Source organism: Homo sapiens, chromosome 22 (genome assembly GCF_000001405.40).
Source record: "Homo sapiens chromosome 22, GRCh38.p14 Primary Assembly".
Taxonomy (NCBI): domain Eukaryota; kingdom Metazoa; phylum Chordata; class Mammalia; order Primates; family Hominidae; genus Homo; species Homo sapiens.
The window spans coordinates 19,580,257-19,604,808 of record NC_000022.11 but is presented as its reverse complement, the minus strand read 5'-3'; the positions used below and the strand labels follow the sequence as shown (position 1 = coordinate 19,604,808).

The 24,552-nt window shown below is 46.4% G+C and overlaps 3 annotated features.

Moving 5' to 3' along the window:
• Positions 5,849-6,349: an enhancer, noted in NCBI's record as "H3K4me1 hESC enhancer chr22:19585983-19586483 (GRCh37/hg19 assembly coordinates)". NCBI's record gives its function as "activates a minimal SCP1, AML or CMV promoter by ChIP-STARR-seq in naive H9 embryonic stem cells {active_cell/tissue: H9 hESC(naive)}" and the evidence as "EXISTENCE:reporter gene assay evidence [ECO:0000049][PMID:30033119]".
• Positions 6,350-6,850: an enhancer, noted in NCBI's record as "H3K4me1 hESC enhancer chr22:19585482-19585982 (GRCh37/hg19 assembly coordinates)". NCBI's record gives its function as "activates a minimal SCP1, AML or CMV promoter by ChIP-STARR-seq in naive H9 embryonic stem cells {active_cell/tissue: H9 hESC(naive)}" and the evidence as "EXISTENCE:reporter gene assay evidence [ECO:0000049][PMID:30033119]".
• Positions 7,886-8,428: an enhancer, noted in NCBI's record as "H3K4me1 hESC enhancer chr22:19583904-19584446 (GRCh37/hg19 assembly coordinates)". NCBI's record gives its function as "activates a minimal SCP1, AML or CMV promoter by ChIP-STARR-seq in naive and primed H9 embryonic stem cells {active_cell/tissue: H9 hESC(naive and primed)}" and the evidence as "EXISTENCE:reporter gene assay evidence [ECO:0000049][PMID:30033119]".

Sequence of the window (24,552 nt, the reverse complement as noted above, 5' to 3'; positions counted from 1 at the left end):
AAATGGTATGGGCCAGTCACATTCCCCCAGGAAGGAAAGCCACCCCCCGGCACACATCCTGGGCCTTGATCACACAGGTGCATTGGAGACCAAATCCCAGCCCTGATGACACGGGCATCAGGTGCAGTGGCCCCCTGGACCGCATGATGTCAAATGTGGCAGAACCTGCACTCTGACCCTTCCTGGCATTGGGATCTAAAAACACACCCTTACAGTTAGCCTCTCTCTGCTTGTTTTCTGGTCTACAAAATGGGGGTGAAATATCTTTGCACCTCATGGTTGTTGTGGAGGTTGGGGCAAAATAGAATACAGGCACACCTGTATTTTATTGTAGTTTGCTTTATTGCATTTTATAGATATTGTGTTTTCTACAAATTGAAGGCTTGTGGCAAGCCTGTGTCTAGCAAGTCTCTTGGTGCCATTTTTCCAACAGTATGTGACCTCTGGCTCTCTGTGTCACATTGGTAATTCTCATAATATGTCATACTTTTTCCTTATTAGGTATCCATCATGGTGATCGGTGACTGTCGCCGGTAGAGGGTCGTGACTGCAAGTTGTCCAGGTTCTTGGTGTTTTGAACAAAGAATTGGACAAAACACCCAGCAAAGCAAAGAAAGAATGAAGCAACAAAAGAATGAAAGCAGGTGTTTATTGAAAATGAAAGAACACGCCACAGTGTGGGAGCGGGCCCAAGCAGTGGCTCAGGGCCCAGATACAGAATCTTCTTGGGTTCAAATACCCCCAAGAAGTTTCCCATTGGCCACTTCATGCTCATCTCATGTAAATGAAGTGATAGCCCACAATCATTCTGATTGGTTGCAGAAAGCAGCCAACCAGAGGCTGAAGTAATGTTACAAAGGTCACACTCCTGTGCAAACATCTGATTGGTTGCAAAAAGCAATCAGAGGCTAGGATGAAGTTACAGAGTTATACTTCTATGCAAACAAAGACTCTGCCCACAATCAGTCTGATTGATTGTGGACAGCAACCATTCCAAGGCCAGAGTGAAGTTACCAAGTTGCAAACAAAGACTCCACCGGCAATCAGTCAGATTTGTTGAAGACAGCCAATTTCCCATCTGCCAGTGCAGAAAAGGTGAGGATTTAGGTTCCCTGCTTCCAGACCCTATTCTCCTGCCTCATGAGTAATGATTTTTTTTTTTTTTTTTGAGACAGGGTCTCACTCTGTCACCCAGGCTGGAGTGCAGTACTGCAGTCATGGTTCACTGCAGCCTCAATCTCCCAGGCTCAGGCGATCCTCCCACCTCAGCCTCCCGAGTAGCTGGGACCACAGGCACACGTGTGCCACCATGCCTGGATAACTTTTGTATTTTTTGTAGAAACTGGGTTTCACCATGTTTCCCAGGCTGGTCTCAAACTCCTGGGCTCAAGCAATCTACGTGCTTCAGCCTCCCAAAGTGTTGAGATTACAGGTGTGAGCCACTGCACCCAGCCTGTGATCTTTGATGTTACTATTGTCATTGTTTTGGGCCCGGAACCATGCCCGTATAAGACAGTGAACTTCTGATAATATGTGTGTTCTGACTGCTCCACTGACTGTCCATGCCCCATCTCTCTCTCTCTCCTTAGGCCTCCCTATTCCCTGAGACACAACAATATTGAAATTAGGCCAATTAATAACCCTACAATGGCCTCTAAGTGTTCAAGTGAAAGGAAGGGTTGCACATTTCTCACTTTAAGTCAAAAGTTAGAAATGATTAAGCTTAGTGAGGAAGGCTGTCAAAAGTTGAGACAGGCTGAAAGCTAGACCTCTTGCACCAAATAATCAAATTGTGAATGCAAAGGTAAAGTTCCTGAAGGAGATTAAAAGTGCTCCTCCAGTGAAGACACAAATGATAAGAAAGTGAAACAGCCTTATTGCTGATATGGAGAATGTGGTAGTGGTCTGGATAGAAGATCAAACCAGCCATGCATTTCCTTAAGTCAAAGCCTAATTCAGAGCAAGATCCTACTTCTCTTCAATTCTATGAAGGCTGAGAGAGGTGAGGAAGCTGCAGAAGAAAACTTAGAAGCTAGTAGAGATTTGTGCATGAGGGTAAGGAAGGAAGCCATCTACATAACATAAAAGTGCAAGGTGAAGGAGCAAGTGCTGATGTAGAAGCTGCCGCAAGTTATCCAGAAGATCTGGCTAAGATCACTGATGAAGGTGGCCACACTAAACAACAGATCGTCAATGTAGGTGAAACAGCCTTCTATCAGAAGAGGATGCCATCTAGGACTTTCCTAGCTAGAGAGGAGAAGTCAATGACTGGCTTCAAAGTTTCAAAGGAAAGGCTGGCTCTGTTAGGGGCTAATGCAGCTGGTGACTTTATGTTGAAGCCAATGTTTATTCGCCATTCCAGAAATCCTAGGGCCTTAAGAATCATGCCAAATTTTCTCTGCCTGCGCTCTAGAAATGGAACAAGAAAACCTAGATGACAGCACATTTGTTTACAGCAGGGCTTACTGAATATTTTAAGCCCACTGTTGAGAAATGCTGCTCAGAAAAAAAAAAAGAATCCTTTCAAAATATTACTGCACCTAGTCATCCAGGAGCTGTGATGGAGATGGACAAGGAGATGAAAGCTGTGTGCATGCCTGCTAACACAACATCCATTCCGCAGCCCATGGACTGAAGAGTAATTTCAATTTCAAGTCTTATTATTCAAGAAATACATTTCATAAGGCTATAGTTGCCATAGATGGTGATTCCTCTGATGGATTCGGGCGAAGTACATTGAAAATCTTTTGGAAAAGATTCACCAGTCTAGATGCCATGAAAAGCAGCAAGTTGTGGTGACTTACACCTGTTAATTCCAACAATTTGGGAGGCTGAGGCAGAAGAATCACTTGAGTCCAGGAGTTTGAGACCAGCCAGGGCAACATATGGAGACTCTGTTTATAAAAAAAAAAAACAAAACAAACAAAAAAAAAAACTAGCCAGGTTTGGTGGTGCATGCCTATAGTTCCAGCTAATTGGGAGGCTGAGGCAGGGCTCACCTGAGCCCAGAAGGTTGTTGATGTCCTCGCGATCACATCACTGCACTCCAGACTGGGCAACGAGTGAGACCCTGTCTCAAAAAAAAGAGAACATTTTTGCTTCATGGGAAGAGGTCAAAATATCAACATTAATAGGAGTTTGGAAGAAGTAGATTCCAACCCTCATGGATGACTTTGAGGGTTCAGGACTTCAGTGGAGAAAGTCACTGCAGATGTGGGGGAAACAGCAGGAGAACCAGATTTAGAAGTGGAGCCTAGACCAGGTGCAGTGGCTCACACTGGTAATCCCAGCACTTTGGGAGTCCGAGGTGGGTGGATCACGAGGTCAGGAGTTCGAGACCATCCTGGCTAACACGGTGAAACCCCATCTCTACTAAAAATACAAAAAATTAGCTGGGCGTGATGGCGGGCGCCTGTAGTCCCAGCTACTCAGGAGGCTGAGGGAGGAGGATGGCGTGAACCCGGGAGGCGGAGCTTGCAGTGAGCCAAGATTGCACCACTGCACTCCAGCCTGGGCGACAGAGCGAGACTCCGTCTCAAAAAAAAAAAAGAAGTGGAGCCCGAAGAAGGGGCTGAATTGCTGCAATCTCAGGATCCAACTTGAACACATGAGGAGTTGCTTCTTAGGGATGAACAAAGAAAGTGGTTCCTTGAGACGGAACGTCCTCCTGGGGCAGATGCTGTGAACATGGTTGCAATGACAACAAAGCGTTCAGAATATTTCATAACCGAAAAAACACAGCAGGCTTGAGAGGATTTCTAATTTTGAAAGACCTTCTACTGTGGGTAAAATGGTATCAAGCAGCCTCCAGTGCCGGGGGCCATCTCCTGTGAAAGGCAGAGTCAATCAATGTGGTAAACTTCACTGTTGTCTGATTTGAATACATTGTCACAGCCCCTCTACCCTTCAGCAACCACCACCCTGATCAGTCAGCAGCCATCAGCACCGAGGCAAGGCCCTCCACCAGCAAAAAGATTCTGACTCACTGAAGACTTGGATGATCATTAGTATTTTTAGCAGTAAAGTTTTTTTTTCTTTTTCTTTCTTTTTTTTTTTTTTTTAGACGGAGTCTCGCTCTGTCATCCAGTCTGGAGTGCAATGGCGTGATCTCGGCTCACTACCACCTCCGTCTCCTGGGTTCAAGAGATTCTTCTGCCTTAGCCTCCTGAGTAGCTGGGATTACAGGCGCGCGACACCATGCCCAGCTAATTTTTTTTTTTTGTATTTTTAGTAGAGACGGGGTTTCACCATATTGACCAGGCTGGTCTTGAATTCCTGAGGTCATGATCCTCCCGCCTCAACCTCCCAAAATGCTGGGATTACAGGCATGAGCCACCACGCTCGGCCAAGTATTTTTAAATGAAGGCATATAAAAATTGTTTTTTTTAGATGTGATGCTATCCTATATTTAATAGACTACAGTTTAGTGTAAACATAACTTTTATATGTGCTGGGAAACCAAAAAATTCATATGACCCACTTCATTATGATATTCACTTTACTGCAGTGTGGTCTGGAACTGAACTCACACTATCTCCAAAGTATGCCTATAAAATAAAGCCCTCACCCAATTCCCTGCCTCAGAAAGCCCCTTCCTCACCTCCACCCAAGTCGAGGGCGTGAGTTAAATTTAGCTAGCTTCCGGCTGTATCCATTCAGTAAACACAAAACAAAAGGTACTAAATGGCAAGAACTGCATGCAGGGGGCTTTTGGGACAGTGCCCAGGACACAGGAGCTCAATCAACGTCAGCTGTGACAGTGGTGCAGATGACTAACGTCTGACAGATCTTCTTTCTTTAGAAAAGAACAGCTGTCTTCAGACAGGGCTCCACCCAGAGCTGGGCAACAGGTGACCACTGCCCTGAACATCCCTACGCAGCCCACCCAGCCCTACCCAGCTCCAAGAGGAGCAAGGGTCCAGCCAGACCTGCTCGGACAAGGCCTCATGGGGCCACCTCTGGATCCCGGGCACACCTGCAGGGATAGAGCCACAGGAAGTGGGGGCCGAACTGAAGCTCCACTTCTAGAGTGACCTTGAGGGCAGCAGTGCTCAGGCCAGCTCCTGAGACAGCCATGGGGAGTGGGGAGGTGGTGTTCAATGGGAACAGAGTTTCAGCCTCGGAAGATGACGACGTTCTGGAGATGGTGATGGTGCTGGCTGCTCAACACTGTGAATGTCCTTAATGCACTTAAAAATGGTTAAAGTGGGGCCAGGTGCGGTGGCTCACACCTGTAATTCCAGAACTTTAGGAGACCGAGATGTGTGGATCACTTGAAGTCAGAAGTTCAAGAACAGCCTGGCCAACATGGTGTTGGTACTAAAAAATACAAAAAAAATCAGCCAAGCATGGGGCGCATGCCTATAGTCCCAGCTACTAGGGAAGCTGAGGTAGGAGAATCACTTGAACCCGGGAGGTGGAGATTGCAGTGAGTCGAGATTGTGCCACTGCACACCAGCCTGGGTGACAGAGTCTCCATCTCAAAAAAAAAAAAAATTAAAGTGGGCCAGGCACAGTGGCTCACGTGTGTAATTCCAGCACTTTGGGAGTCCCAGCCTGGAGGATAGTTTGAGGTCAGAAGTTTGGACTAGCCTGGGCAACATAGCCAGACCCTATCTCTACAAACAATTTTTTTTCAAAATCAGTCAGGTACTGTGGCTCACACCTGTAGTCTCAGCTACTTGGGAGGATCACTTGAGCCCAGAAGGCGAGCTGTGCTTGCTCCACTGCACTCCAGCCTGGGCAACAAAGCGAGACCCTGTCTCAAACAAACAAACAAACAAACAAACAAAACATGATTAAAGTAGTGAATGTTGTATGTATTTTACTGTAATGTGTTTAAGAGGGAAAAATCACCTTGGGGAAAGAAAGGAGTACCCAGGAGCACTTCCAAGGTTATACTTAGGTTTTTGCTTCCTAAGCCAGGAAACGTAACTTTGCATTTGATTTATTCTGTACCCATCTTATCAGCACTTTCAGAGAAATAAGAACAGGGAATTGGAGCTCTCACAATAACTGGACAAAGACGGGCAAGAGATTAGAGAGCCCCAGTGCCTGCTGCCACCTCCTGATTCACTTCCCAGGGCGTGAGTGGGCCCTGCCCACACTGTGGTGAGGCCCTCACCCCGCCCTTCCTGGGATGAGGACACAGCCAGCCCTCGCTTGTGATCGATGCATGCAGGCTGCAGCTTTCACCCGGGGGTCACAGCCTCACTCCAACTCACATCAGGCCACATGGCAGCCCCATCGAGTCTTTGGGCCCTGCTGCAGAGGCAGGTGCCATGCCTGCACTGCACATCCAGGTGTGTTGTTGAGCAACCCCCTCCAGACCTTGATGTCATCCTCCTGGGCCCCTCCTCCAAGTCTTGTGCAACCCAGTGGTGTGATGTTTGTGTCCTGCACCCCAGGTCCTGACTGGCACACACCCTTCTCAGCTGGGTTAGCTCCTCCGTGTCTTTCAGGTGCCTGCACCCCAGCAGCAGAGAACCAACTGCATGGTAGCCATGTTCATGCAATCCACTCTCTGTTCCTGGATGCCAGCATCTGGCACCCCGTCCCAGCACACAACAGGATGCATGGATGGTGGCCTGGCGTCATGGACCTGGGGAGACAAGGCAGCCCAGCAGCCCCTGCAGAGCCTCAGGGAACTGTTCCTAAAACAAGTGAACTTGCTTTGGGAATCCAGGAACACCTTTGCTGGAACAATCCAGCCCTTGGGACACCCTAATTTGAAGCCCCCACCACCACCCAGGGGTGCAGCTTTGGCGAGGGGCCGGTCAGGAACAGCTGCTAATCTAGGTGGGGTTTCCTAAGCCCAATTCACCTGCCAGAAAATCAAGCCCTAAATAAGTAATTTGGTTTCCCCTTAGTTTTCTTTCCCTCCCACTGCCCTTTACAACAACCTGCCAGTTTAAGCCAAGGAACAAAGATAGAGACATCCTCTGAGCCCCACCTGCCATTTGTGATAAACATTTCAGAGAATGAGTTAAGCAGTGCTGGAGAAAACAGGAAAAATAAACTCTGAGTCTCTACATAAATATATATTCTATGAAAACCTAAACTTAATCCACCACCAGCACAAGGCAAAGCAAAAGGGCACACACAGCTCTGCCGCCACTACAGAGAAAAAGATCTCTACATGCTGTTCCGCGCGCTCCTGTACAATGCAGAGCTTTGAACTGTTTATAACAGAACACGACAGAGGCACAGTCACAAGAACAGTGATTCTGCCCTTTGAAGCTGCCTGCAGTCAAGTATTACACAGGCAGGAAGTAGAAATCTGTGCTTTGATTTGTTTAAAGTAAATTAAACATAACTGGAAACCATATTTCCTCTCATTCAGAGGAAGTTACAAAAGGTACAGAGGACCAAGAATATCAGGTTCTCATGCAAACGATGAGGTCGGTTCTTCCAAAGCAAAAAAAAAAAAAAAAAAAAAAACAAATACTGGCCTTTAACATACATTCGAAGACCTCACATGTGTTCATTTTGAAGAGATTACCGCTGTGGAAAACAATTTGGAAAAAACTGTTTCAGGTCAAAGTGTAAGTCGTTCAAATAAATGTGCGTCTACGCTTTGGCATCGAGCATTTTTATTTTTTCAAATTCAAGCCTGTGGTCCCTTTGAGCCATTCTTTTCTCCACTGGACTTAGCCATTTTGAAACCTGCCCAGGGAGGAAACGACTCAGGCTCCCTGCAGAGGCAGCCCCATGGGGGCAAGAGGCAGCAACACAGCCTGGGGCCAGGCTCCAGGGCTGCTCTGCAGGGGACGCTGCCTGGGCAGCTGAGAGGCAGTGAGGAGTGAGAGAGAGAGGCCCAAGACCCGGGCACATTGGCCTGCCTGGGAGGACCTAGCCAGTCCCTGCTGGTGCCTCAGATCTGCTGTAGCAGGGGCTCGGCCTGAGCACCCCCGGCCTCTGCCCACCTCGCAGGGCATCATGGGAAGCAGGCATGATGTGCACGCTCTCCGGGCCCTCCAAGTCATGGCCATGGCTCTCCATTAACACAACCACGTGCCCGAGGGCTGAGCCCCAGCAGCAGAGGGTGGTGGGAAGGGCCGGGGCTCAAAGGCCAGGGGTCCCACTCGCTGGCGGCAGGAACCCAGCCTCAGTTCCCCTGTCCGTAAAATGGGGATGATAGATCTTACTTTAAAGAGTTGAGGCCGGGCGCGGTAGCTCAAGCCTGTAATCCCAGCAGTTTGGGAGGCTGAGGTGGGCGGATTACGAGGTCAGGAAATCGAGACCATCCTGGCTAAGACAGTGATACCCCGTCTCTACTAAAAATACAAAAAAAATTAGCCAGGCATGGTGACGGGCGCCTGTAGTCCCAGCTACTCAGGAGGCTGAGGCAGGAGGATGGCGTGAACCCGGGAGGTGGAGCTTGCAGTGCGCCGAGATTGTGCCACTGCACTCTAGCCTGGGCAACAGAGCGAGACTCTGTCTCAAAAAAAAAAAAAAAAAAGAGTTGAGAGGCCGGGCCTGGTAGCTCATGCCTGTAATCTCAGCATGATTTGGGAGGCTGAGACAGGAGGATCACTTAGGCCCAGTAGTTCAACACCAGCCTGGGCAAGATAGTGAGACCCTGTCTCTACAAAAAATTTTAAAAATTAGCCAGGCATGGTGGTGCATGCCTATGATCCCAAATACCTGGGAGGCTGAGGTGGGAGGACTGCTTGAGCTCGGGAGATTGAGACTGCAGTGAGCCAAGATTGTGCCACTGCACTCCGGCCTGGGCAACAAAGCCAGACCATGTCTCAAAAAAAACAAGCAGCTAAGAAGGAAAACTGTATGGCTGTTTGTTGGCATGACCCCCATCCCTCCATGTGCAGCAGAGGGTGACACCAGGCTGATGTGCAGCACCATTGTGTCTCCACCCTGCTCTCCCATTCTTCTGCATTTCTTTACCTCCCTGAAATCCCTTTTCCGGCCTGGGCCATCTTGTGCTCAAAGAAGCACCTGACAGCATGTGCCAGCTCCTTCCCCAGATACGTTCCCCATTGTGCAGACGTGAGCTTCCCCGCCTTTAGGTCCCTCTCTTAATCCTGTCTCTCTCCTATTCCAGAGTCAGGACCCCAGCTTTCTCCTCCATCTTCCCATCTCCCTGGGGAAGCTCACATCTTCCTACGTCCTCCATTCCAACTCTAAGTCTACACCTCCCAAAACGGTGTCTCTGGGCTCCAGAACTCCTCCTTGAGTCTCAGACCCTCTGAACCAAGAACTTCATCCCGAAACAATCCATCCTCCACTAAACTGGCCTCACACTGTCAAAAGGCAATCTACCACAGCCATGTGGGGCGATTTCTGTGGCCTGCCTGTCTGTCCATTGATCTATCTGTCTATGCCTTCTCCAACACCACCATGTCTGTATGACCGTAGCTTTGTAGTAAGTCTTCAAATCAGATAGTGTGTGTCCTCCAACCATATTCTTCTCTAGAGTAGTGTCTATGGTAGCTTCCTGCCTTTCTCTGTGAATTTTAGAGTCCGCTTGTCGATTTCTACCAAAAAACCTGCAGAGATTTTCACTGGGACTTAGTTTAATTTCTAGATCAGTGTGGGAGAACTGACATCTTGTAAACCTTGGAATATTGACTATTCCAACACAAGAACACAATATACCTCTCCATTTATTTAGGAATTCTTTGATTTTTTTATCAGCATTTTATAGCTTTTTATATATCTTTTTCTTTCTTCTTTTTTTTTTTTTTTGAGACAGAGTCTCGCTCTGTCACCCAGGCTGGAGTGCAATGGTGCGATCTCAGCTCATTGCAACCTCCACCTCCTGGATTCAAGCGATGCTCTTGTCTCAGCCTTCTGAGTAGCTGGGATTACAGGCACCGGCCATCATGCCCTGCTAATTTTTGTATTTTTGTAGAGATGGGGTTTCACCATATTGGCCAGGTTGGTCTTGAACTCCTGACCTCAAGTGATCCGCCCGCCTCGGCCTCCCAAAGTGCTGGGATTACAGGTGTGAGCCACTGTGCCTGGCCTCTTTCTTCCTTGTTGGTATAAAGATGGGCTCCTGCTATGCTGCCCAGGCTGGTCTTGAACTCCTGGGTTCAAGTAATCCTCCTGCCTCAGCCTCTCACAGTGCTGGGATCACAGGCATAAGCCACTGCACCGGCCAAGTTTTATTGTTTTCAGCATGTAGCTCTTGCATATATTTTATAGGATTCATGACCAAATTTGTGTTTTGGTGCTGTCATAAATGGACATGTTTATTTCAATTTTCAGTGGTTTGCTAGTAGATATATTTCCTTGTGAGTTTCGGTAGCTTTTCTGTAGATTCCATCGGATTTTCTACACTGAAAATCCTATCATCTGGGAATAAAGATGGTTTTGTTTATTCCTCTCCAATCTGTATGCCTTTCCTTTTTCTCACCTTTTGCCCTTGCTACAACCTCCAGTACAATGGTGAATAGAAATGATGGGGTCAGACAACCTGGCCTTGCTCTGGCCCTTAGGGGAAAAGTATTCGGTCTTTCACCCTTAGGCATGCTGCTAGTTGTAGGGCATTTGTAGATGCCTTTATCACATTAAGGAAATTCCCTTTAATTCCCGGCTTCCTGTGTTTTGGTCACACATGGGTGTTGGATGTTGTTAAATGCCGTTTCTGGATCTATTGAGCCGATCATAAATGCTTCCTTCTTGAGTTGGCTGATAGGAAGAATTGTGTTGATTGACTTTCGAATGTTGAACTAACCATTTACTCCTGGGATACACTCTACTTGATTATGGTGTATAATCCTTTTTGTACATGGCTGAGTCATATTTGGTAATATTTTGTTGAAGATTTTCACATTTGTGTTCATGAAGGACCTTGATCTATAGTTTTCTTTTCTTCCAAGCCTGGTTAAGCAGCAAAGTCACTGGCAGACTAGTTTGATTTTTTTGAGGCAGGGCAGATGAGCCCTAAAGTGGGGCTTAGCCCTCAAGAGTTCTTGGCCTCACCCAGGAAAGAATTCAAGAGCAAGCTGGTGGTAGGAGAAACAGCTTTTACTGAAGCAGCAGTGTTGCAGCTCCGTGACTGCTCCTGCAGAGCAGGGGGACCCCATAGGCAGAGAGTAGCAGCTCAGGGCAGCTTTGCAGGCATACTTATACCTACTTTTAATTACATGCAGATTAACGAGTGGTTTATGCAGAAATTTCTAGGGAAGCAGTAGGAACTCCTGGGTTGTCCGGTCATTGCCATGGAAAGGAGAGGTCAATTCTGGGTGTTGCCATGGCAATGGTAAACTGACATGGCACACTGGTGGGTGTATCTTAGGGAAAGCTGCTTCTGCCCCCTCCCTGTTTAGCTAGGCCTCAATTTGGTCCCTTGCATGAGCCAAGCCTCCAGATTGGGGCCCGCCTCCAACCTCACTTTGAAGCCTTGTTTTAAGCTCTGCAGGGGAGGGTCTAAGACACCCTTACTCTAGAGCTTATTTGCTCCACTACTAAGGTGGGGCTCTTCAGGGGTCTCTAGGGCATCCCGGGAGTTCAGTGAGAGCCATCCACTGAGTCTGGCTGCCACCCGAGCATCTCCCAGAACAGGTGAACTCTTGGACTCAGCTGCCTTTCTGCTCCTGGTCACTCGTTCTTTCCTGTCTCCACGACGTTGCACACCGCACACACACAGCTTAGGATCTCCCAATGCTCGGGGCAACCCTGAGGATTACTGGAGCCCCCTCTCTGCAGTGTTCCCATCCCTCCAGGACTCAGCCCACAAACCACAGCTGTTCAGAGCCCCCCATCTCCGCTCCTCAATGCAGCCAAGCCACTCGCACTGCTTGATGTGCATGAAGCACCCCCGACCCCACCAAGGCAGAAACCCAGGGCAGCTGCGGCGCCTTGCCATCTCATTTCTGTAGACTCTGGGGTCACAGCTCTGCATGGCCTGTTTCTCAACACCTGAAAACAGTTGATTCAGACATTTTGTCCAGGTTTCCAGCTGCTTAGGGTAGCGGAGTATGTGCACCATAGCTAACCCACCTTGTTGTTGATGACGTGACCTTGGAATAGTCCACACCAGGCCAGGCCAGCCAAGCCCCTGTACCTGACCAACCTCATGGCAGATACCACCCTCAAGTAGCCATTTGTCCAGCCCCAAGAGTGGCCCTCACTAAAGCAGCTTCCAAAATGTTAATGCCAGGACATTTCTTGTGGCGGAATTCTGATAGAAGAGGGACGGTGGAGGAGGGCAGCACCCACTCTCAAATGCTGTGGCATGAACTGCATGGAAGACAAATTATGAACAGTGATTTTTTACAAATTGCATAAAACCAAGAAGAGTTAAACAAAATTCACGATAGTGAAAATTTGGGTAAAATTAAATACCAGTCAGAGAGGAATGTCTCTTCTCTATAATATATTACAGTATGTTAACCTGACAGATTACTATTTGGCTGTCAAAAATAAATAATGTGGGCACAGTGGCTCATGTCTATAATCCCAGGACTGTGGAAGCTGAGGCAGGAGGGTCCCTTGAGGCCAAGAGTTCAAGACCAGTCTGGGCAACATAGCGAGACTCCATCTCTACAAAAAATGTAAAAATTAGCCGAGCATGATGGTACACACCTGTGGTCCCAGCTACTCAGGGAGCTGAGGCAGAAGGATGGCTTGAGCCTGGGAGGTTGAGGCTGCAGTGAGCTATGATTGTACCACTGCACTGCAGCCTGGGTGACAGAGTGAGACCCTGTCTCAAATAATAATAATAATAAATAATGTGATATGAAAGAGATGTTTACAAACAAAACTGAGAAGAAAGAACCTAAATTGTCCCCACACAATGATTACAACAATGTAAAATCTGTGTCAGCATGAGAAAAGACCAGAAAAAAGTCTATAGAAATGAAAACAATTATTATGCAAGGCTGGCAGGAATATGAGCAAAATTCTTTTTTAATCTTTTCAAAAGTTCTTAAATCTTTAATAATTAAAAAACAAGCCAGGAGTCAGTTCTATTCAAACTTCACAAACAATAATCATGAGAAAAAAACCAGGAAGTGACCCACCAGCTCCCACAAGGGCAAAAGAAAGCCCTTCTTGGCAGAATTCCTGTGGACCCAGCTGGGCAGGCAGAGCCCCTGTGGCCTGTGTGGCCCGTGGCCTCAGGGGGAGCTGGAAAAACAGCAGATGCATTAGGAATGAAGAGCTGTAGACATCCGCATCAGACCCCACAACACAACACACTATTTTTTACTGTATTTTATTTATTTTGTTTTGTTTTTAGAGATAGAGTCTTGCTCTGTCACCCATGCTGGAGTGCAGTGTGAAATCACAGCTCACTGCAGCCTCAAACTCCTTGGCTCAAATGATCCTCCCACTTCAGCCTCCCAAGTAGCTGGAACTACAGGTGCATGCCACCATCCTTAGCTAATTTTTTAATTTTTATTTTAGGAGAAACAGGGTCTCACTCTGTTGCCCAGGCTGGTCTTGAACTCCTGGCCTCAAGTGATCCTCCCGCCTTGGCCTCCTAAAGTGCTGTGATTACGGGCGTAAGCCATTATGCCCAGCCAATACATATATTTTAAAATGAAAATCTCTATAGCTATGGACTTGGAAGTCTATAATTTGAAGGCCCTCTATATTAGATGAAGAGGCCACAAAGCTTCCCTTTTAACAAACACGTTGAGAGATGGCACCAGGCACCGTGTAGCCTTCATGCTGGACCAGGCTGTTCTGTGGAATCTTGAGAGGCTATGCATCCTGGGACCACAGTAACCAAATTGCTGAAAACAGCCATGAGGAAACCCAGGTGTGTGAAGCCAGGCTCAGTCACAGTCAGGGGCACCTGCAGCATCACGCAGGCTTGTTCTCACTACCGAGGCGATTCTGCCAGGTACTCTGCATGCACCCTGCTGTCTGCTGTGCTTCTTCCTGCTCAAGGGATGGGGAAAAGACATGCCTGGAGCGAGGGCACTACCCCCAAGTCCTGGCAATGCCCTCATAGGATGTCTGGGCTGGAGGATTCCCTCAGGCTTGGCAAGCTTCACCTTCCTGCTCTGTGAGGGAGATGGACTACAGTATGTGGCCTCTAAAGATGACCCCTTCCACAACACCCTACTGTCTGTCTGTCTGAGGAGCACATGCATCTGTTCTCATGTCCACAGGCTTGTCTGCCTCAGCCCCAGCTCGCTGCAGCTTCTACGGAGACCCAGGTGAGCAGTGTTGATTGCAAAGTTTAGAGATTTCATTCACACTGATTTTCAGTAATAGTATGACAACAATAATGAGATCAGCCATCCTTACATTATAGCATCTGCATTTGTCAGGTCCCACTTAAGTCATTTACATATATTTGCTCATTTAAACTGCACAATCACTTCAAGAATGATAACAGTATCAGTACCTCCATTAGGGGTGAGGAAACTGAGGCACCGAGAGTCCACGTTGCCCAAAACTGAATGGCGAGTCACTGGCACCCATTTTAAGATACACACACAGAGATGTGTGTAGAGCATATAAACAACATATGTATATATGTTTAAAACCAAAAACCTTCATTGTTGTTCACTGTATCCAGTTTTGGAGAAAATGGAACCTTTGCGCATTGCTTGTGGGAATGCAAAATGGTGCAGCCGCTGTGGAAAACAGTTAGGTGGTTTCTCAAAAATTTGAACACAGAATTACCATATGAGCCATCAATCCCAGTCCTAAGTGTATGCCCTAGATAATTAAAGCAGGAACTGGAACAGAAGCTTGTGCGCCCATGTTCACAGCAGCATTCTTCACAATAGCAAGAGATAGAAGCAGCCCAGGTGTCCAACAGATGAATGGATAAACACAGTGGGGCATCATTCAGCCTCAGAAAGAGATGAAATCCTGATACTGACACATGACACAACATAGATAAACCTGAAAAATATTGGGCTAAGTGACATAAGCCAGACACAAAAGGACAAATACCGTACGAGTCGTTATATGGGGTACCTAGAATAATCAAATTTGTAGAGCGAAAGTGAGATGGTGGTTGGTGGTTACCAGGGGCTAGGGGAGGGGGAATGGGATTTAGGGACAGAGTTTCTCTTTAGGGTGATGAAAAGGTTCTGGAATATATATACATATATATACACACACACACATATATATATATATATATATACACACACACACATATATATATATATATATACACACACATATATATATATATATATATGTATGTATGTATATATTCATTCCAGAGAGAGAGAGAGAGAGGAAATCACAACATTCCTCTCAGTAAGATCAGTTTGGTTTAAGATGGAGAAGGGATTGATGGAAGGCAAAACTATAGAAAAATGAATTTCTGTAGTAACACAGGTGAGAAGAAATGAAGAGTTACTTAAATAGCAACTGAAGAGATCGATTAGAGAGATATTAGGGGATTAAAATTGATAGAACTTGGTAATTATTGGAATTGAAAAGAGGTAGAAGAAGGAACCAAAAATAATTCCCAAGTGTCTGGTGTGGCCAACGGGATGGGACAGTGGCTCTGCTCACTGGTTTAATTATTCAGGAGCTTAGAAGGACCATTCCATAATTCTCCTCCATCACTGTTCTAGGAGTTACCAGCAGGTCATGAGGAAGAAGATAGTTATTTTTAAAAAATCATTTGAGGAGTACTGTTCAGCGATCAAAAGGAATAAATGTGGCCGGGTGCAGTGGCTCACACCTGTAATCCCATCACTTTGGGAGACGAAGGTGGGAGGATCACTTGAGGCCGGGAGTTCAACACCAGCCTGGGCAACATAGTTAAGACCCCATCTCTAAAAAAAATTAAAATGGGCTGGGCGTGGTGACTCACACCTGTAATCCCAGCACTTTGGGAGGCCGAGGCGGGTGGATCATGAGGTCAGGAGATCGAGACCATCCTGGCTAACATGGTGAAACCCCGTCTCTACTAAAAATACAAAAAATTAGCCTGGTGTGGTGGCGGGCGCCTGTAGTCCCAGCTACTCGGGAGGCTGAGGCAGGAGAATGGCGTAGACCCAGAAGGCGGAGCTTGCAATGAGCCAAGATTGCGCCACTGCACTCAGCCTGGGCGACAGAGCGAGACTCTGTCTCAAAATAAAATAAAATAAAATAAAAATAAAAAATTAGTAGGGCACAGTGGCACACACCTGTCATCCCAGCTACTTGGGAGGCTGAGGCGGGAGGATAATTTGAGCCCAGGAGTTCAGGGCTGCAGTGAGCTACAATGGCACCGATGCACTCCAGCCTGGGCAACGAAGCAAGACTGTTTCAAAACAACAACGACAAAGGAATAAAGGTTTGGCACATGTAACAACACAGATAAAGCTGAAAAACATTGTGCTGAGCGAAAGGTACCAGACAAGAAGCAGCATAGAGTGAATGATTCCACTTCTGTGAAACCCTGAAAGCTAAATCTAATCTCTAGTGACCAGTGTTTGGCCAGGTCTGTGAATAAGGGATTTGACAGAGACTGCAGCACAAGGAAGCTTCCCGGGGAAAGGGGAACACCCTGCGTTTTGATGGTGACGGTAAGTACATCAGCCAATTCATTGAAAAATGGTGCATTTTTGTGCATTCATCTTTGCGCATTCATTTTAAGTGAATTGGCTGATGTAATTACCATCACCATTAAGTGAATTATATTTTAATAATAAGTGTGATTTTAGAACGTAAAAAACAATCAGAACTGTGGATAAATTCATTCTCTTCCTTTGAAGATGTGTTCTTGGGCTTGAACTAATAACCAGTCTTGGCAGTCACATGGGTTTTTACTCTATGAACTGATTACCTGAAATAAAGGGCCCAAGATTTTTAAAGTGCCACGTATGGGCAGTTCCAAATCTTTAGGCTTTTCCTTACAATCCATTCACTAAAATATGTTCCATTTTATTCTACTTGAAATTATCAGAATTTCATTTCTTGGGTAATTGTTATTTTAGGTCACACTGAGTAACTGTAGGCTAGAATTACTGCCTGGCAGCTCAGAACATGAGGGGACAAATACAGACTTTTGCTCTGGGAAGCGCACGGCCTTTGGTTATGAGAAAGGCTTAGCCCTTGTCTTCAAGTGAATTGGATTTCTGCTGTGATTTGGGTGTGTTTAGCAGGTAAGGAAAGAGTACAGGAGCAATAGGGGCTGGCCAGGGCTGCACAGCCTGTTGGTGGGAAGGTCCAGACAGACACTGCCCCTGGCCACCAGGGTCTGGCTCAAGCCACCTCTCATAGGAAGATGCGCCTTAATGATTCAGAGGGTACTATTTTCATAGACTTCAAATCTAGCATTGTACTGCCTGGTACTTTGGTTTCCTGAACAATAGTCCAGTTAATTCAGCCTGGGCAACATAGCAAGACCCTATCTCTACAAAACTTTTTAAAAAAATTAGCCAGGCATGGTGACACATGCCTTTAGTCCTGGCTACTTGGGAGGCAGAGGCAGGAGGATCACTTGAGCCCAGGAGTTTGTGGCTGCAGGGAGCTAATGATAGCGCTGATATGGAAGGGAAGTGCTGGGAAGGGAACAGCGTGGTCCCTTTAAATGATACAGGAGTGGGGAAGAGAAGTGCTGGGTAGAGGAGGGCATGGTCCCTGGCTAGAGCTCCACCACTATGTACCTAGGTGAGGATAGGCACTCCTGCCCAAACATTGCATTTACCCAGAATGCCCTGGCCTGCTGCATCCCCATGATGTGCCTATGAAAACCCCCAAGACCCTAGCAGGCAGACACAGAAGTGGCTGGACATCATGAGGAACACACTGGCAGAAGGAGACGCAAGCCGCTGGACTTTGAGAGGATGTTGAAAGGAGCACTCTGGCAGAAGAGCACACTGGCAGACACTGGCAGGCTCTCGACTGGTGGAACGACGTGGAGTTTGGCCAGGGCAGTCGAGGAGAGCCTGGGCTGCTGAGCGACCCGACTCCAGGGGAAAGCCACCTTCCCACTCCATCTCCCTTCTGGCTCCCCCATCTACTGAGAGCTACTTCCACTCAACAAAACCTTGCACTCATTCTCCAAGCCCACGTGTGATCCAATTCTTCCGGTACACCAAGTCAAAAACCCGGATACAGGAAGTCCTCTGTCCTCGCAACAAGGTACAGGGTCCTTTTTTTCTGTTTTTGTTTTTGTTTTTTTTTTTTGTTTTTTGTTGAGATGGTGTCTCCCTGTGTCGCCTAGGCTGGAGTGCAGTGGTGCAATCTCTGCTCACTGCAACCTCTGCCTCTGGGGTTCAAGTGATTCTCATGCCTCAGCCTCCCGAATAGGTGGGATTACAGGTGTGAGCCACCACACCCGGATAATTTTTGTATTTTTAAGTAGAGACGGGGTTTCGCCATGTTGGGCCAGGCTGGTCTTGAACTTCTGACCTCAAGTGATCTGCCCACCTCGGCCTCCCAAAGTGCTGGGATTACAGGCATGAGCCACCATGCCAGGCCTAGAGGGTCTAATTGAACTGGTTAACAAAAGCCACCTATAGACAGCAAAACTAAAAGAGCAAACAGTAGCACATGCCCACTGGGTCCTGGCTGTAAACATTAACCCCTAGACATTGCCCTGGGGCCGGAGCCCCACAGCCTGCCCATCTGTATGCTCCCCTAGCGGTTTGAGCAGTGGGGCACTGAAGAAGCGAACCACACCCCCATCGCCTGCCCTGCGAGGGGGACACGGGAACTTTTCCTGTTTCAGCACCACTGCACTCCAGCCTGGGCAATAGAGGGAGACTCTGTCTCAAAACAAAAACAAAAACAAAAACAAAACACAAAAAAACACAACTGGGTGCGGTGGCTCATGCCTGTAATCCCAGCACTTTGGGCCAAGGCAGGCAGATTGCTTGTGCCCAGGAGTTAGACAGCAGTCTTGGCAACATAACAAAACCCCATCTCTACAAAAAATACAAAAATTAGCTGGGTGTGGTGGCATGAGTGTGTAGTCTCAGCTACTCAGGAGGCTGAGGTAGGAGGATTGTTTGAGCCCAGGAGGTACGTGTTGCAGTGAGCTCAGGTCACACCACTGCAATCCAGCCTGGGTGACAGAATGAGACCCTGCCTCAAAAAAAAAGAAAAAGAAAAGAAAAGTTAAAAAAAGAAATTTTGTTTTTAGGAAGTGGATGCACATGATGAAAAAATTCAAAAGCTACAAAAGAGTGAAAGTAATGATAGATCTTTACAAAAATCCTGGATGCATTTATTTATAAGCATGTATGTAAATAGATCCTTTAACAGTGGTAGCACTCTCCTATTCACAACAGCAAAGATATGGAATCAAACTGTGTCCACTGACAGATGAAGAAATAAAGAAAATGTGAGATAGATATATATATATATATATATATATATATATAAATATATATATAATGGAATTCTATTCAGCCATAAGATGAATGAAATCGTCATTTGCAGCAGCATGGATGGAACCGATGATCATAACGTTAAGTGAAATAGGCCAAGCACAGAAAGACAGCTACCATATGTTCTCACTCATATGTGGGAGCTAAAAAGTTGATGTCATGGAGGGAGAGAATAGAATGATAGATACCAGAGGCTGGGAAGCATGTGTGGGTGGGAGGAGGATAAAGAGAAGTTGGCTAATGGGTACAAACATATGGTTAGGTAGAAGAAATAAGCCCTAACATTCCATAGCAGGGTAGTAGGGTATCTGTAGCTGGCAACAATGTATTGCATATTTCAGAGCAGCTAGAAGAGAGGACTTGAAATGCTACTGATGCAGGGCAGGTTCTTGGCTTCCTCAGGAAGGAATTCAAGAGCAAGCTGGTAGTGGAAGAAAACAGCTTTCTTGCGGTGGAGGCAGTGCTATAGCTCTGGCTGGCTGCCCCTGCAGAGCAGAGCTACCCCATAGGCAGTGTGCTGAGGGTCGCAGCCTAGGGGCAGTTTTGCAGTCATATCTTATACCCACTTTTAGTGCCATGCTAATTAAGGGGCAGGTTATTCAGAAACAGCTAGAAAATGGGTGGTAAGTTTTGGGTGTTGCTATGGCAATAGTAAACTGTCATGGCACTGGTGGGCATGTCTTATGGAGAGGTCCTTTGTGCACTTCTTCCTAGTTTTGGCCAGTCCTCAATCTGGTCCGGAGTTGAGTCTCGCCTGCCTCCTACCTCATTACAAACACTTAGAAATAAATACTCAAGGCCGGGCACGGTGGCTCACACCTGTAATCCCAGCACTTTGGGAGGCCGAGGCAGGCAGATCACGAGGTCAGGAGATCAACACCATCCTGGTTAACACAGTGAAACCCCGTCTCTACTAAAAAATACAAAAAAAAAAAAAAAAATTAGCCGGGCGTGGTGGCGGGCGCCTGTAGTCCCAGCTACTCGGGAGGCTGAGGCAGGAGAATGGCGTGAACCCGGGAGGCAGAGCTTGCATTGAGCCAAGATCGTGCCACTGCACTCCAGCCTGGGTGACAGAGCAAGACTCCCTCTCAAAAAAAAAAAAAAAAGAAAAAAGAAAGAAACACTCAAGGTGATGGATACCTCAGATACTCTCAGTTGATCATTACATATTCTGTAATGTGTAATGTAACAACTACTCCATGTACCACATAAACATGTAAAAATTTATCAATAAAAAGTAGCAACTTATATGCACTATTCTGTATCTTCTGTAGCTCCCTATTCTTTCTGATATAAACTATGGTTATTTCAGAAAATGCAGAATAACTACACTGTACATCAGTGTTTTACCTCAGTTAAAGGATTTTTAAAAATCAATATTATTGATGTACAGCTTGCATACGAGAGAGTGCACACATCTTAAGTATACAGCTTAGGCCGGGCATGGTGGCTCACGCCTGTAATCCCAGCACTTTGGGAGGCCGAGGTGGGCAGATCATGAGGTCAGGAGATCGAGACCATCCTGGCTAACATGGTGAAACCCCGTCTCTACTAAAAATACAAAAACAAAATTAGCCGGGTGTGGTGGCCCATGCCTGTAGTCCCAGCTATTTGGGAGCCTCAGGCAGGAGAATGGCGTGAACCCGGGAGGCGGAGCTTGCAGTGAGCCAAGACGTGCCACTGCACTCCATCCTGGGTGACAGAGTGAGACTCTGTCTCAAAAAAAAAAATAAAAGTATACAGCTCAATGCATGTAGACAAATGTGTATACCTGTGTAAGTAACCATCATCACAGTCAAAACCAAGAACATCCCATCACTCCAGAAGCTTCCCTCATGACTCCTCCTGGTCACACCAGGACCCAGGGAACCACCCATCTGTGTTCCATCATTCTAGATGAGATCTGTCCTTTCTAGAGTTTTCTATAAAAGGAATCACAGTGCATACTGTTTTGTCCAGCTTCTTTCATTCAACATAAGTCCTGTGAGATTCATCCACTTGTTGTACCATCAGTTTTCTGCTCTTTATTGATAGTGTTTTCCTACTTTTTTTGTGTTAATATGGAGGATTATATTGATTTTTAAATGTTAAGCTGATGTTGCATTACTGGGATAAACTCTACTTGTCCATGGCCTATCCTTTTTTTTGTTGCTAGATTCAACTGACTTTTTTTTTTTTCAGACAGGGTCTCACTCTGACACCCATGCTGGAGTGCAGTGACGCGATCTCTGCTCACTGCAGCCTTGACCTCCCAGGCTTCAGTGATCCTCCCACCTCAGCCTCCCAAGCAGCTGGGACCACAGGTGTACACCACCACACATGGCTAATTTTTTGGATTTTTTGTAGAGTCAGGGTTTCACCACGTTGCCCAGGCTGGTCTTCATCTCCTGAGCTCAAGCGATCTGCCTGCCTCGGCCTCCCAAAGTGCTGGGATTACAGTCGTGAGCCACTGTGCCCAACTCAATTGGCTAGTTTTTGTCGTTGTTGTTGTTTTTTTTTTTTTGTCATGATGGAGTTTTGTTCTTGTCGCCCAGGCTAGAGTGCAATGGCGTGATCTCGGCTTACTACAACATCCACCTCCCGGGTTCAAGCAATTCTTCTGCTTTAGCCTACCAAGTAGCCGGGATTACAGGTATGCACCACCACACCTTGCTAATTTTTGTATTTTTGGTAGAGACAGGTTTTTGCCATGTTGGCCAAGCTGATCTCAAACTCCTGACCTCAAGTGATCTGCCTACCTTGGCCTCCCAAAGTGCTGGGATTACAGGTGTGAGCCACCGCACCCAGGCAGTATTCTGCATTCTTAAACTGATTTTCTGCCTCCTTGTTCTGTCATTTACTGAGAGAGAAGTGTGGAAATCTCTAGCTATAACTGCGCATTTGTCTATTTGTTCTCTTGGTTCTGTCAGTTTTTGCTCTGTATTGGGTGCATACATATTTAGGATCATAATGTCTTCTTGATGACTTGACCACTTTATCCGCATAAAACAGTCCTCCCTATCTCTAGGAACAGTCCTGTTCTGAGTCTGCTTTGCCGGATGCCATTCCAGTATTCTCATAACTCACGTTCACATGATCTTGTTCCATTCCTTTACTAACTCCTGCATTTTTAATTGTGGTAAAATATACACAGCACAAAAGGATCCTTTTTTTTGAGACGGAGTCTCACTCTGTCACCAGGCTGGAGTGCAGTGGTGCCATCTCGGCTCACCGCAACCTCCGACTCCCTGGTTCAAGCGATTTTCCTGCCTCAGCCCCCGAGTAGCGGGGATTACAGGCACGTGCCACCATGCCCAGCTAATTTTTGTATGTTTAGTAGAGATGGGGTTCACCATGTTGGCCAGGCTGGTCTTGATCTCTTGACCTCGCGATCCATCTGCCTCGGCCTCCTAAAGTTCTGGGATTACAGGCATGAGCCACCGCGCCTGGCCAAAAGGATCATTTTAATCATTTTAATTGTACAGTTCTGTGGCAGTAAGCACATTCACAATGTTGTACAACCATCAGTATCATCCATCTCCAGAACTTTGTTGTCATCCCAAACTGTAAGTCTATACTAATTCAATAATAACTTCCCATTCCCTGCTTCCCCACCCTCTGGTAACCACTATTCTAATTTCTGTCTCTATGAATTTGATTACCTTATATAAGAGATACCTCATATAAGTGAAATCAGACAATATTTGTCTTTTTGTGACTGGCTTATTTCACCGGGCATGGCTTCAACATTCATCCATGTAGTAACATGTGTCAGAATTCCTTCTTCTTTTTTTTTTTTTGAGACAGAATCTTGCTCTGTCACCCAGGCTGGAGTGCAGTAGCATGATCTTGGCTTGCTGCAACCTCTGCCTCCTGGGTTCAAGCAATTCTCTGCCTCAGCCTCCTGAGTAGCTGGGATTACAGGCACCTGCCACCACACCCAGCTAATTTTTGTATTTTTAGTAGAGACAGGGTTTCACCATCTTGGCCAGGCTGGTCTTGAACTCCTGACCTCGTGATCCACCCGCCTCGGCCTCCCAAAGTGCTGGGATTACACACATGAGCCACCGTGACCGGCCAGAGTTCCTTCTTTAAGGCTGGATAATATTCCATTGTCCATGTCTGTAGACCACATTGCTTATCCATTTATCTGTCGGTGCATGTTTGAATTGTTTCTACCTTTTAGCTAGCGTGAATGATGCTGCTGTGAACATCGATGCACAAGTGTCTTGAGTCCCTGCTTTCAATTCTTTTCAGTGCATGCCTATTCTGGGCGTGGAATTCCTAGACCACACGGTAATTCTGATTCACTTTTTTTTTTTTTTTTTTTGAGACGGAGTCTTGCTCTTTAGCCCAGGCTGGACTGCAGTGGCGCTATCTCGGCTCACTGCAAACTCCACCTCCCGGGTTCACGCCATTCTCCTGCCTCAGCCTCCCGAGTAGCTGGGACTACAGGCGCCCACCACCACGCCCAGCTAATTTTTTTATTTTTAGTAGAAATGGGGTTTCACCGTGTTAGCCAGGATGGTCTTGATCTCCGGACCTCGTGATCTGCCCACCTCGGCCTCCCAAAGTGCTGGGATTACAGGCGTGAGCCACCGCGCCTGGCCTCTGATTCACTTTTTGAGGAAATACCAAACTTTTCCACGGTGGCAGCACCATTTTACATTCCCACCAACAGTAAACCAACGTTCAATTTCTCCACATCTTCACGTTCTTTACATCCTTGCCAATGCTTTTATTTTCTGTTGTTGGTTTTGCTTGGCTTTTTTTGATAATAGCCATCCTAATGCCTGTGATTTGCATTTCCCTAATAACCAGTGATGTTGGGCATCTTTTCATGTACTTCTTGGCCACTTGTATGTCTTCTTTGGAGAAATGTCTATTCAAGTCCTCTGTCTATTTCTTATTTTTTGTTGTTGAGTAAAGTTATGACTTTTCAAAACGTATTTTACCTTGATTTGTTTTGCCACCTATGATGTTTTATTTTGAACTTTAGAAGTGGAAAGAAACTAATAAGTCATATTTAAAGCCATGTTGTTCTTCCAGTCAGCACCATAATTCTTAACAAGAAAACTTGACATTTCATTTAAGTGATTAAATGTATAGAGGTTGGAGATTTGCATTTTCCTCTATAATCCATATAATAATCCATGGAAAATCTTTTCCAATAGTTAACAATGCAGCAGAAAACAGCCCATACATAACGACAAAATGAAAACTCCCAGATCATTTGCATCCTGCCAGAATCTTAGCTTCCCTCGCATTACTGCTATTCATGACCTCAAGCCACACGTTCTTA